At 47.1% G+C, this 12663-nt stretch overlaps 5 annotated features.

Annotated features, from left to right (window-relative positions):
- Window positions 8083–8913: an enhancer, noted in NCBI's record as "H3K27ac-H3K4me1 hESC enhancer chr2:16243116-16243946 (GRCh37/hg19 assembly coordinates)". NCBI's record gives its function as "activates a minimal SCP1, AML or CMV promoter by ChIP-STARR-seq in naive H9 embryonic stem cells {active_cell/tissue: H9 hESC(naive)}" and the evidence as "EXISTENCE:reporter gene assay evidence [ECO:0000049][PMID:30033119]".
- Window positions 9745–10574: an enhancer, noted in NCBI's record as "OCT4-NANOG-H3K27ac-H3K4me1 hESC enhancer chr2:16244778-16245607 (GRCh37/hg19 assembly coordinates)". NCBI's record gives its function as "activates a minimal SCP1, AML or CMV promoter by ChIP-STARR-seq in naive H9 embryonic stem cells {active_cell/tissue: H9 hESC(naive)}" and the evidence as "EXISTENCE:reporter gene assay evidence [ECO:0000049][PMID:30033119]".
- Window positions 9745–11405: a biological region, named in NCBI's record as "CDK7 strongly-dependent group 2 enhancer GRCh37_chr2:16245136-16246335".
- Window positions 10103–11302: an enhancer, noted in NCBI's record as "CDK7 strongly-dependent group 2 enhancer chr2:16245136-16246335 (GRCh37/hg19 assembly coordinates)". NCBI's record gives its function as "activates an origin of replication core promoter dependent on BRD2, BRD4, P300/CBP, MED14 and CDK7 cofactors, with strong dependence on CDK7, by STARR-seq in HCT116 cells {active_cell/tissue: HCT116}" and the evidence as "EXISTENCE:reporter gene assay evidence [ECO:0000049][PMID:35650434]".
- Window positions 10575–11405: an enhancer, noted in NCBI's record as "OCT4-NANOG-H3K27ac-H3K4me1 hESC enhancer chr2:16245608-16246438 (GRCh37/hg19 assembly coordinates)". NCBI's record gives its function as "activates a minimal SCP1, AML or CMV promoter by ChIP-STARR-seq in naive and primed H9 embryonic stem cells {active_cell/tissue: H9 hESC(naive and primed)}" and the evidence as "EXISTENCE:reporter gene assay evidence [ECO:0000049][PMID:30033119]".

Genomic DNA, 12663 nt, shown 5'->3' on the forward strand with positions numbered 1-12663 from the left:
GCTGAAGAGTGGAGAGCCTCTGGGTTCTGGAGAAACACCTGGGCCCATGCTGTCCCTTCTTCCTGAAAGCTCCTCTTCTCCTGTCCCTGCATGAGGCTTCGCCCCTTCACGCTTGAGCTAGCATATCCTGTTATCTGCAAAGTGTCTTGAATCTCTCATCTGGGCTGGGTGCCTCCACTCTGTCTGCTCACTGCTCTTGGGACACCCCTCCCACAGCGCTTATGCCACTCTCAGGTCACGGCTTCATTTGTGCTTTTCATTGCACGAAGACAGAGACCTCCCATGGGCCCTCAGATGTGTCCCTAGCACCTAGTATTGTGCCTGGCACACAGAAGGCTCAACGAATATTTGATGAATGAGCAAAGGAAGAAATGAACAAATGAAAGATTTCCAATGGTAGAAAAACAGACATTAGGGCTCAGGAAAGCTTGCTCCATGGCTGGGGCAGCTGGGCTGGTGGTTCTAATTATGGGTAAATCTGAGCACTGGATCCCCTGAGCTCAACTGAGGTGTGCAGTGGCTCCTGGCATCTGCCTGCCAGTAGAAGCTTGTCAGGGTTCTAAGGCAAACAGTTATTTTGTTGAATTATGCAAAGAGTCAGATTGTTGGAATTCCATGTAGATCTCAGCCAAAGCCTGGTGATGCTTTGAGAAGATGGAAATACAAATGGAATTCAGAAACAACTATTTTTTTAAAGTAATATGTGTTTGCTATAGAAATTTTAGAAATGCGGGTATACACAAAGGATCAAATAAATAGGCTGGGCACAGTGGCTCACACCTGTAGTCCCAGCACTTTGGGAGGCTGAGGCAGGCAGATTACTTGAGGCCAAGGAGGTTGAGACCAGCCTGGCTAACATGGTGAAACCCCATCTCTACTAAAAATACAAAAAATTAGCAGGGCATGGTGGCTCCCACCTGTAATCCCAGCTACTCAGGAGGCTGAGGCAGGAGAATCTCTTGAACCTGGGAGGCGGAGGTTGCAGTGAGCTGAGATCACACCTCTGCATTCCAGCCTGGGCAACAGACAAAGACTCCATCTCAAAAAAAAAAAAAAAAAAAAAAAAGAATCAGTTAAATAAATAAAATGATTATCTCACCACCTGGTGGTATTGCGCATTAGTAGCTGGGGCCACCTGTGCACTTTTCTTTGATTCCATGTGGCCCCTCCACATGGTCTCTCCAGCACCGTGGCTTTAGGGTAGCCAGACTCCTTCAGTGGCAGCTCAGGGCTCCAAATATCCAGGTCCCAGTAAACAGACCCAGGTGGAAACGGAAGTCACTCACTCATTTTTGCCAGATTTCATTGCTGGAGGGAGTTAGATAGTTCCACCCAGGTTCAAGGAGAGGGAGCATGAATCCCATGTCTCAATGGAGGCCTACTATCCACCCCAGTATAAGGAGAGTTTACCAGATGGGATATGAAATACATTGATGTGCTCATCTTTGGAAAAGATTACTTGCTACAATTAAATCTCAGTATTTACTATTACATTGTTAATTGAAGCCAATGTTATTTCAATCAGGATTCCTTTATTTATTTATTTATTTATTTTTTGAGACCGTGTCTCGTTCTGTTGCCCAGGCTAGAGTGCAGTGGTGCGATCTCGGCTCACTGCAACCTGTGCTTCCCAGGTTCAAGTGATTCTCCTGCCTTAGCCTCTTGAGTAGCTGGGATTACAGGTACACACCACTGTGCCTGGCTCATTTTTGTATTTTTAGTAGAAACGGGGTTTCACCATGTTGGCCACGCTGGTCTTGAACTCTTGACCTCATGGTCTGCCTGCCTTGGCCTCCCAAAGTGCTGGGATTACAGGTGTGAGCCACCACGCCTGGCTGGAGTCCTTTATTGTTGCACTAAAGTCAAAAAAGAATTCTTGGCCAGACGATGTATAAGCATCTTACATTGTATGGTGTTTCTCAGGTTCCAAAAATCTTAGCAGAACTCGTTTCATTCAGGGCTTACAGTTTCCTGGTGGGGATCATCAACCCCATCTTACAGTGATGGAAACAAGTCTAGAAGGGAATTAACAAAGATTTCTTCAGTGTCAGCAACTGATGGAGCTGGAAGTAGATCTAAATAGCCTGTTTCAAACCCAGAATTCTCTCCTGTACTCCAGGTAACGCCACTGGTTGTGGGCAAAATCCACCTGTGAGCCACAGTCTAGTCTTACGAAATTGTAAAACGGATGCAGGGGGTGAAATTTCCTTTTTAATGTTTTAACTTTAGATTGGCCTTCTGCCTCTGACTCTAGAATGGTTTGTACTGAGTAAATATTAACCCAGGGCTCCATGGCCAGTGTTTTATGAGCTGGTGGAATGCCCTGCAGCAGGGGCTGGGGAGAGGGGAATTGGCTGGCCCCACATTTGAAGATGGCACCTGATGCTTGGGTCGGCAAATGTCTGAAAGGCTTTGCAGCTTGCTGGGCAGCCCAGGTGGGAACTTACCTCTTGGTGAAAGCATCAGGAATCTCCCAATCCCTCAGGTAACCCCGATCCCTCAGAATAGATCAGATGATGGCCGGGACTTGTATTGGTTCATTTTCACACTGCTGATAGAGACATACCGGAGACTGGGTAATTTATAAAGAAAAAGATGTTTAATGAACTCACAGTTCCACGTGGCTGGGGAGGCCTCACAATCATGATGGAAGGCGATAGGCACGTCTTACATGGCAGCAGCAAGAGAGAATGAGAGAACCAAGTGAAAGGGATTTCCTCTTAGAAAACCATCAGATCTTGTGAGACTTATTCAGTACCATGAGAACAGCAGGGAGGAGCCTGCCCCCATGATTCAATTATCTCCCAACCCAGTCCCTCCCAATTATGAGAGCTACAATTCAAGATGAGATTTGGGTGGGGAAACAGCAAAACCATATCAGGACTCTTTAAAGACCTCTGTAGGCCTTCAGCATTCTTTTATTCTTTTTTTTTTTTTTTTTGAGATGGAGTTTTGCTCTTGTTGCCCGGGCAACAAGCATGCACACACGTGCAATGGCATGATCTTGGCACACCACAACTTCCACCTCCAGGGTTCAAGTGATTCACCTGCCTCAGCCTTCCAAGTAGCTGGGATTACCTGCATGTGCTACCACACTGGATAATTTTGTATTTTTATTAGAGACGGGGTTTCTCCATGTTGGTCAAGCTGGCCTCGAACTCCCAACCTCAGGTGATCCACCTGCCTCGGCCTCCCAAAGTGCTGGGATTACAGGCTTGAGCCACTGTGCCTGGCCTAGCATTCTTATTTTTGGAGACCCTGCCCAACATCACATCAAATATGTTATGATATACTTACATCGCACATCATGTTATTTATTTATTTTTGCTTTAGTAAAAGCTTAAGCCTGGTGTGTTGGCACATACTGTTAGTCCCAGCTACTCAAGAGGCTAAAGTGGGAGGATCGCTTGAGCCCAGAAGTTGGAGGCTGCAGTGAGCTATGATTGTGCCACTGTGCTCCATCCTGGGTGACAAGAGAGAGACATCATCTCTATTTTTTTTTTTTTAAGTTTAAAAGAACTTTTGTAACTTTGCCTTTGAAATTATTTGGCTATAGATACTTTACTTTCACAGAAAGTTTTAAAAATTTTCTCAGCCTATTTGGGTACTCATGCAAAGTAATGAAATATAATCAACAAACTGTTTTTGAATGTAATGAAATTTTCATGAATGATAAATTCATCAATTCAGGAAGTGGCATATGAAAGAACTTTACATTTCTCAGACATTTGACTTACCATCCATCTGCTTTGACCTTGCAGTTTTCATTTTGTGTTGCAGGGCCAATCTTTTTTTTTTTTTTTTTTTTGGTAGAGTCTTTCTTTGTCACCCAGGCTGGAGTGCAGTGGTGCCATCTCGGCTCACTACAACCTCCACCTCCCAGGCTCAAATAATTATCCTGCTTCAGCCTCCTGAGTAGCTGGGACTACAGGCACCCGCCACCACGTCCAGCTAATTTTTATATTTTTAGTAGAGACGGGGTTTCACCATGTTGGCCAGGCTGGTCTCAAACTCCTGACCTCAAGTGATCCGCCTGCCTAGGCCTCCCAAAGTGCTAGGATTACAAGCGTGAGCCACCGCGCCCAGCCCAGGGCCAATTATTTTTTGTTTTCAGATCTCAAATAATTTTGCAGGACTCTAAAGAGCTGATAGCCCGGTCCTGTAGCTCTAGGGCCTAACAGATAAGATGACTCTGATTGTAATGATGCTGGTATTTCCTTGATATGAAGAGCCCCAAAGTCTCTATAGTTGTGTCTCCAAAGTGGCAAAGTGGAAGCCACATAAAGAAATCACTCCCCATTACCAATTATCTTTTCAAGTGTGTCACGTACACTGCTCTGCTGCTGCTCTGTACATGGAACATATTGGGCAGGGATGATTACCAAATAATTCTGGAGGCTCATGGCTTTGAAACACCAATGAGACAGAGAACTTGATGGTGGAAAAACTCTTCCCGAGAAGAAAATAGGCCATAGATGGGACTTGCCCAAGTCTTCCTTAGGGAGTGGGAAAGATAAGGGAGCTCACATTGCCAAAAACCCAACCCAACCCATGGTGTACTGGGGATTTTAGGAATTTCATTTGTCCCTCTGATATCTTTTCAAAGTGAAGATTCACCCCATTCTACAGAATAGACCACTGAGGCTCAGAAAGGCCAATACTTGACCCCAGTGATACAGGGACAAGATCTCGGATCTGCCTAATTCTAAGGCTCTGCTTTCTCTTCCTGCCATTGTGGATGGACAGAAGTGTGTGACATTTTTAGAGGAAATGAGCACTATGCTGTGTAGTTTGTGCTTGGAATACCAGCAGGATTAAGAAAATTGCAGGACTGATACCTTTTAGAATTTTCCATTTGCAAAAGCCACAATCCTGTAACAAACATCCCTACAACAAAAACTCAAGATGAAAGAGCCAGAGAGAAGCAAATTAAAGGCTTGGAAAGATGCAAATCAAGTCTTTGTCTAGAGTAGTGGAGCCAAGAACCTGGTGGCTTTACTCAACAGGTATTCACTGAGCACCTACTCTGTGTAGGAGACCCTGAGAGATGATAACCTCTCAGTCTTTTTTCTTTTTTCCTTTAAATAGGGATGGGTTCTCGCTATGTTAACCAGGCTGGACTTGAACTCCTGGACTCAAGTGATTCTTGCCAGAACTCCTGGCCTCCCAGAGTGCTGGGATTACAGGTATGAGCCACCATACTTGGCCAACCTCTCAGTCTTAAGTCCTCTGTTACATGTAGACACCAAGGTGCAGTGGAGAGAGAGGCTGCAGAAGAGTTGGCCTATGACACAGAAGATTGGAATTCACAAACTTTCCACTCCCTGGCAGTGTGGCCTTAGACAAATGAGTGCATCTCTGAGCCTTAGCTAACTATTTGGTAAGATACAGGTGACCATTCTTGCTCAGTCTACCTCATGGGCCTGTGATATTCTCAAAGGTCCCTGGTAAACAGGTGTGTGGAGAGTCCTCATTATGACTCCCCCTAGAGTAGGCCCTTTTAGAGGGCAGGAGTGTCTGTGTCTCTGTCTTCAGCACAGGCCTGGCAGACAGCACATGGGCCCTTGTGAGTGTGGGAGGCAATCTCCTAAATCTTAGCTGAAATACAACATTCGTCAGGATCTTCCTGCTCTGTTCACACCTTACACATGAATCCAACCTCATGGTGCACGGACCAGGGCTCTCTTCTTTGAACCTGCAGAAGATGCTTCATTAAAGGTCAACTTTGTTTGCAAAATAACTTTATGGCTCTTTCTGTAAAAGCTGAAGGACTCCAGTGGTCATCTCACTGAAAAGGAAGTTTCTTCCCTAGCAGCTGAGTCTTCACAAATAATATTCTCTTTCAATTCACACCGCAGATTAGGCAAGGATCCTTTGTAACTCCCAGTACCACAGGTCTGAAAGGGCCCTTGGAGGTCACATATTCTTATTCCTTTATTTTGCAGATGAGTTTGCTGCAGAGTGCAGAGGAACTTGCTGCAGGTCATAGATCAGGGCTGGTCTTAGAGTTATGTGTCCTTCCTTCAACTTGATGAAAACAACTCTCCTGGCACTTCTCTGGAGCAAAGCCGGCGGTCCTCCTTGGATACGGTGAGCCACCAAGCTGGGCTCTAAAGCAGGTGGACAAGTTCAGGGCCCCCTGTTAGGATGGGTTCACAGTCATTCCGAGGCTTTTGCAAGTGTTTTTCTGGTGCAGGGCTCTGCACTGGCTCTCCAAAGAGAGACACAAAATGGCTATTTTTGCAGATACACTCATGGTGGGAATGGCCGTCAGCCAAAATGCCCCGATGTGCTTCTCAGAGTGTGTGGATAGACCTCCCTTCCTCCTCCAGCCATGAACTCGCAGGGCCATGGGAGAAGATGGGTGTCCTGCAGGTCAGGGCTGAGAACAGTGGCTGACTGATGGCGACAAGGGCAGTCCTGAGTGGCCTGCACAGCACCTAGATCTGGAACCCAGAGGAGTTGTTGGCTGCAACAGCAGATTAGTCAAACTCCCAGATGGCATCTCTGAGCAGGGAGTTTGAGGTAAAAAGGCCTGGACTTCCTTCCTTCTTCACTAAAACAGGACTGGAGAATGAGGTCCTTGCACTGTAATTATACTCTGGCAGGAAACAAATAACTAAGGCATTTCTCTAAGTGAGGAAGGAAGGAAAACATCCAAGGCTCTGGGGATCCTTCAGCTTCTGCTCTTGTGGCATTGGAATAATAAGAACAACCATCTACTCTTCAATCTTTGCCAAGCCCCATGAAGTAGGTATTTTCCACCTTAGTCTACAGATGCAGGAATGGTGGGTTGCCCACAGCTGCAATGCTGGTCAGTGGTGTCACAGAGCTGGGACTGAATTGTACTTGTGCCCAACTCAGAAGCCCCGCAGGTCTCTCTGCCTCACCTGCTGTTATGTGGAGGGGGCACTTTCTCTTATGAGCTCAGCGTAGTCACAGGTGCACAGCGATGCCCAACCAGGAGGCAGAAGTCCACCCTTCACTTTCCCTGACAATTTGAGTGCCTGGGTGCACTCAAGGAAAGGGCTCCTGTTCCTTTATACAAAAGTGCTGTCTGTTCACAAGCCATGCCTCCTGGGGCTGCACCCACCCCACAGGGGCGCCTTTTTTCTAATTCACATGGAGGGACCAAGTAGACTAGTGGTGGCCTTATATTAGCTGTTGTCAATTGAACTTCTTTGGGCCTGAGTTTTTTTCTCATAAGAAGTGAGGCTCTTAGGATGCCTTCTTACTTACAAAGTAAGTGTTGGGGCTTACTTACAAACACCTGCAGGTTGGCAGATGTTTGTAGGCCGGCGTGTGTGTGTACGAATGAGAAGCATCCCTTCTTAGACTCCTGTCTCCCTGGGCTCACGGTACTTCTACTGGTCATCCCAGTTCCTGGGTTGGGGTTCACCCAACACAGGCTGCCTCAGCCTGAACTTTGCGGTGATGGATTGGTGACCAGGCCCTCACCACAGGGCTTCCAGGGACCACCAGTCTCTGGTGTAGGCATGTACTAGGAGGAAGGGATTGAGCAACCAGCTGCCCTGTGCTCTGTAAGGACCCATGGTGCACCCCCACTGCAGCCACTCTGGGGATGGACCCTAACCCGTCTCTTTCTCACTGTCTGGCTTTTGTAAATATCCCTGGCCTCTTCTTTGCCCAGCAGATTCCTGTTCTGCTTCCTCTGTCCCATGCTGAGCACACAGCATGGAGCGCAGCCCTGGGCGCACAGTAGGCGCTCTGCCCTGCTCCCTGAACTAGTGGTCAGGTGAACGAGCCCTGACTTTGCTCTGCCATTGCTGGGCTGTGTCCCTCGGATTGCGCCCCCCGTTCCCACACGCCTGGGCCCATTAAGCTTCCATCTCTCACCTCGTTATCGCCTGGGCTTGGGGGTTCTTGGCTGGGAGGTCCGAGGTGTCCCAGCTTCCCCCTAGGCAGAGCCCCTGCAGGTCTTATTTAGGGAAACCCCCACACGCAGAGGGGCATTGTCTCAGTGGGTTGAAAAGGCTACTTTCCTCCAGCTCATTGATCAGATCCCAGAGAACAGTGGGGAGCCTGAGCCCAGGGGCCGAGGCATCTTGAGGGGCTGGGGCTTTCTGAGAGCCTTTATCTCAGCACAGGAGATAAGACTCCAGTGGCTGCAGGAGCCATAAAGCAAGGAGGGGCTGGCAGTTGAGGATCCCGGGGAGCCGGGCTTTGAACTCTGCCCTCATGGGGGTGGGAAGCCTTTATGGCTGGGCTGCTCTGGGGCCGAGGTGGGAGCAGAGCCATCACGGGAGAAAAGAGTCCCCAGAGCCGGCCCCCTGGCACCCAGACTGCACGGTGAGACAACGGAGCCCGGAGTGGTGGGACCAGCGGCGGAAACAGCGCTCCATCCGGGCTTTATTGACTTGTAAACGGTACCATTAAAGAGGAAGGCCTCACCTTGGCTGGAAGCAGCTGTGTGCGCTGCCGTAAATCTAGGGCGAGCTCTGAGGCTGCAGCCGGGCCTGGCAAATGCCAAGCATGCCCTGGGCAGAAGGGGGTGCAGGCCAGGGATCCCCACCACACCCAGCTCCTAGCTCCACTGAGGGGCTGAGTATGGGAATTTATAAGAAGGATGTTTACCAGGGGAAATATCAGCGGCTAATTAGACTTTGCAAATAAAAAAACTTTTCAAACTTTGTTTTCCACTTTTTTTTTTTTTTTTTTTTTTTAAGAGAAGGGATCTCGCTTTATTGCTCAGGCTTGTCTCGAACTCCTAAACTCAAGCAATCCTCCCGTTTTGGCCTCTTGAACGCTAGGATTACAGACGTGAGGCACAGCACCCAGCCATCCAAAAAAAAATTGTTAAAAAAGAGAAAAATGTCTAGACATCTTTGAGTCTCCATTTGCAAATTTAGCCCAGAAAGAAGGACATTGAGAAGCCGAGGCTTAGAGTGGCCTGCAGAGGAGTGAGCGAAAGTCCATCACGGTTTCTTGTTCACTGTGTATCCGCGGACTAGCTCCGGAGAAGCCCAGGTCTCAAGTTTTTCTTTCTTGTTTTTTTTTTTTAACATAAAGAATAAACATAATACCAGCTCTCAAAGGTTGGCTATGATGATGGAATGGGATGAACGTAGAACACCTCACCAGTGGGAGGGGCTCAACAAGTGAATTTTCTCTCTTCTCCGATTGACAATAAAACAAAACAGAAATTGGAGATATTGGCCCTCTTTTTGTTTTGTTCCCCTGGAATTAGCTAACCTTGCACAACAAAAGGCTAGACTGCTAGCTGCCTGGGGGCAGGGACAGCCCTGCCTGGTTCAGTTTTGTAGGTTAGTTGTTAGGAAGGAAGCTGGTGTAGAATTCTGAGAATGTTTTCTACAAATGTTGGGTGAATAAAAAAAAAACAGGGGACTAAGAAAAAAGAAGGAAAGAAAGAGTGGAAGGAAAGGAGGGTGGAAGGAAGAACACAAGGTCACTTTTCCTCTGGACAAAGTCCAGAGTTTTTGGAAGAGAAGGAAAGGAGAAGCAACATTTGCCACCTCCTGCTGTGAGCCCAAATGTTATAAAACTTAGTTCTCACAACCACCAGGAGGGCCCTGAGGATAATTGCCCAAGCTCTGCTATTTACTTATTAACCAATAAGTAAATCTGTCTTCTGGGCAAGTTATTTGCTGAGTGGGTGAGTAAGTTCTTTGTGCCCCTGACTTCTCCTCTAAAATGGTGAGAATTAAATGAGATAATAGGTGTAAACCCATTATACAGTTATTGGCAAATACTAAGTGCTCGATACATGTTGGATATGGTTATGCTTCACGATGAAGAAACAGAGGTTAAGTAACTTGGCCGATTCACAAACCTGAGAAGCACGTGGCTGGATTCCCACTTTGCTTCTAGAGCTCACACCAGTTCTCCGGGGTCTGCAGCTCTTGAGGCATCACAAGGAGTGGTTTGTGGAATCCCCACGCCACATGGTCTCAGAATGTATTACCAGACAGAACTACTAAAAGGAACTCTTTAGGGGACATAACTTTTAGGCTGAGCTGCTGGAAAGGGTTAATTGGGCCACTGGGATTCTTATCTTTGTCTGAGGGATTCCTTCATTCATTAAATAACAAACAGATAAATAAACAAACAAAGCCAAAAGGAGGTAAGATCCTTAATGCTTACAGAGCCCTTACCCAGCCCAGCCTGAGCCAGGAGCTGCAGGAAGCTCAAAGCTCTAGGACAGGGCCCCTCACCTCCCTGTCTCCAGGGACTTAGTATTTGCTAATCACTGCTTGTCACAAGTAGGACATCCTCAGTGCTGTGTGTTGATGGGAATCAGTTTCTTATCGTATAACAAGGAGGCTGGATGGCAAGTGGCGTTTACCACCATCTAGAATTCTCTAACGATTCACAGTGAGAGAGATCTCAATCCAGGAACTACCATGGTCCCTCTGCGTCTGGGATTTCAGCCTAGCCTTTGTAGGTGCTGGAATATGCTTAGATAGCTCTCAGGGCAAGGCACTGTTCTGTATGTCCACACATACTAACTTATTTAATACTCACCTCAATTCCACTCCTTTACTGTCAAGGAACTGAGACACGAAGAGTTTAAGCCCACACAGCCAGCATGTGGTGAAGAATTCGACTCCGCACAGCCTGGCGGCAACGTCAGCGCCATGCAATGCTGTCTCCCTGCAAAACAGATCCCAGTAAAATGGAATTCAGTTTACAAAGTGGCTATTCATCTTCCAAGGAGGGATAGAATGAAGGAGCTAAAGACAGAGGGAGAGAAGAAAGAAATGCAGAACAGGGAGCGGAAACGGGGGCTCCTCCCTTGCAGCACCTGAGACACGTGATCTCTCTGCCTGTTCCTTCCTCCAGCACCCAACCCCCTCTGCCAGCAACTTCCAGATAATCCCACTAAGAATTCCAAGCAGGTCTCATTGCTTCTTGGAAAGTAGCCGGCAGAGGCCCACACCCTGAGCGTGCGAGTCCGGTTCCGAGTCCTGAGACTGGCAGAGAACGCTCCTGGGAGGGGTTGGCCTTCCCATTCCCCTGAGTCTGGGCCCAGGCCTGCCACATTCCATTCTTCAGGTCTTAAAAGCCTCCTATTCTTTTACAAATCACTGGTTCAGACCTAAATTATCCAGATAATTGAGCCGCCTGGCCCGTCATTTTGTTGGCATAGACACCATTTATGTGTAATCTGAGAATATTCTATCTGCCGCGGAGTTTCTTCCAAAGGCATTATTTCTAACCTTCTTTAAGAAACAAATTTCCTGTTGCCATGGAGATCATCTTTTGGCTAATTTTATCAGGCTCAGGAGCCAGGCTGGAAGCAGCTCTCTCCTGTCTCCCAGGTTCTCTACTTTGCTGAGTCCCAGGTTGTCTGTCAAACGAGGCTCTCGGATCTCAGCAGCCTGCGCATGAGACAATTCAGATGATGGCTACATTTTGGTTTTGAATTTTAAAAGCCTTGACATCATCTGCACAGGCATTTTTGATTTGTTTTAATGAGAAAACACATACAATAAAGATTCAGAGCTGATAAGTTTCATAAATGCATGCTTTCTGGAACCTGACTGTGAGGAAACTGTTAAAATGAGAAGTTTCTGAGCTAGCAAAGACTGTAGAAAATTCAGAAAGAGGAAAAGGCATTGCTTGGGCGCCAGGCCTTGTGCTGCCCTGAGGTGTACTAGGGGAAGCGGGGAATGGAGCGTGCAATTTGCCTCTTTCCAGCTATCTGGGGATAATTAAATTGCGTCAGTGCTTGGAGGGACTGCAAGGGTCATCTCTTTTAAAACTCTCATTTTATAAATTGGGAAATTAATCCAAATTCTCTGGAGTTAGATTTGGTTCTTGGGAGGGTTTGTACCCAATGTCTCTGGACTTGCAGTCACTTGGGATAAAATCCAAACGAAATCCTCCCAGGCTGGACCAGGCACATCTCCCTCCAGACTCTGAGGCACTCACAGCTCCCGTGCAGCCTGCTTTTCTCACCTCCGTGTCTTTGCACAGTCTACCTTCTGCTCTTTGGAATGCACTTCCACTTTCGTACCCTCTTGGACAGTTTTCGCTATCCTTCAAAGCTCACCTCAAGTGTCACCTTTTCAGGAATTCTCTAGGCTGGGTCAAGTTGTCTTACGAAGCCTTCACACTGTGCAATTATTTGCACATGTGCCATTTTGTCTACTGGACAGGGATCTCTTTGGGGAACGTGTTCTAGTCACCTCAGAGTTCTGGCTTGGAGGAGACACTCACTGAATGAAGAAATCAATAATCCCAACAGTTAACATAGGAGAACCTACTAAGCACAGGTATTGTATTAATGTATTGGTTCACTTAATATGAAGTGATATTAATATTAGAAGGTTGATACCTCCTAGGATTAGTGGGAATGTTAGGTGAGCTAATACATTAATAGCTAATACATTGTTTGACTGTTGAGGAAACTGAGGCATAGCAAAGGAACTTGCCAAAGGCCACGCGGCTAGACAGTATTGGAACCAGGATTCAAACTTTGGCGATTTGCGTCCAGATTTTTCACTTTTAACAGTTATGGGTTCAGGATATGCTACCCCAAAATATGGCACCTTGGCATTTTAGAAAACACCAGAAGCAGGGAAGTTTTTCTGACCCTGTCCTGCCATTCTCCCCTGAGGCAGGCCAGAAAGAATTCTCTGACCTTTCTCTAAAGTGGGTCCAGAGGGTTCCTCTTTATAC

This window comes from Homo sapiens, chromosome 2 (assembly GCF_000001405.40).
Source record: "Homo sapiens chromosome 2, GRCh38.p14 Primary Assembly".
NCBI classification, from domain to species: Eukaryota; Metazoa; Chordata; class Mammalia; order Primates; family Hominidae; genus Homo; species Homo sapiens.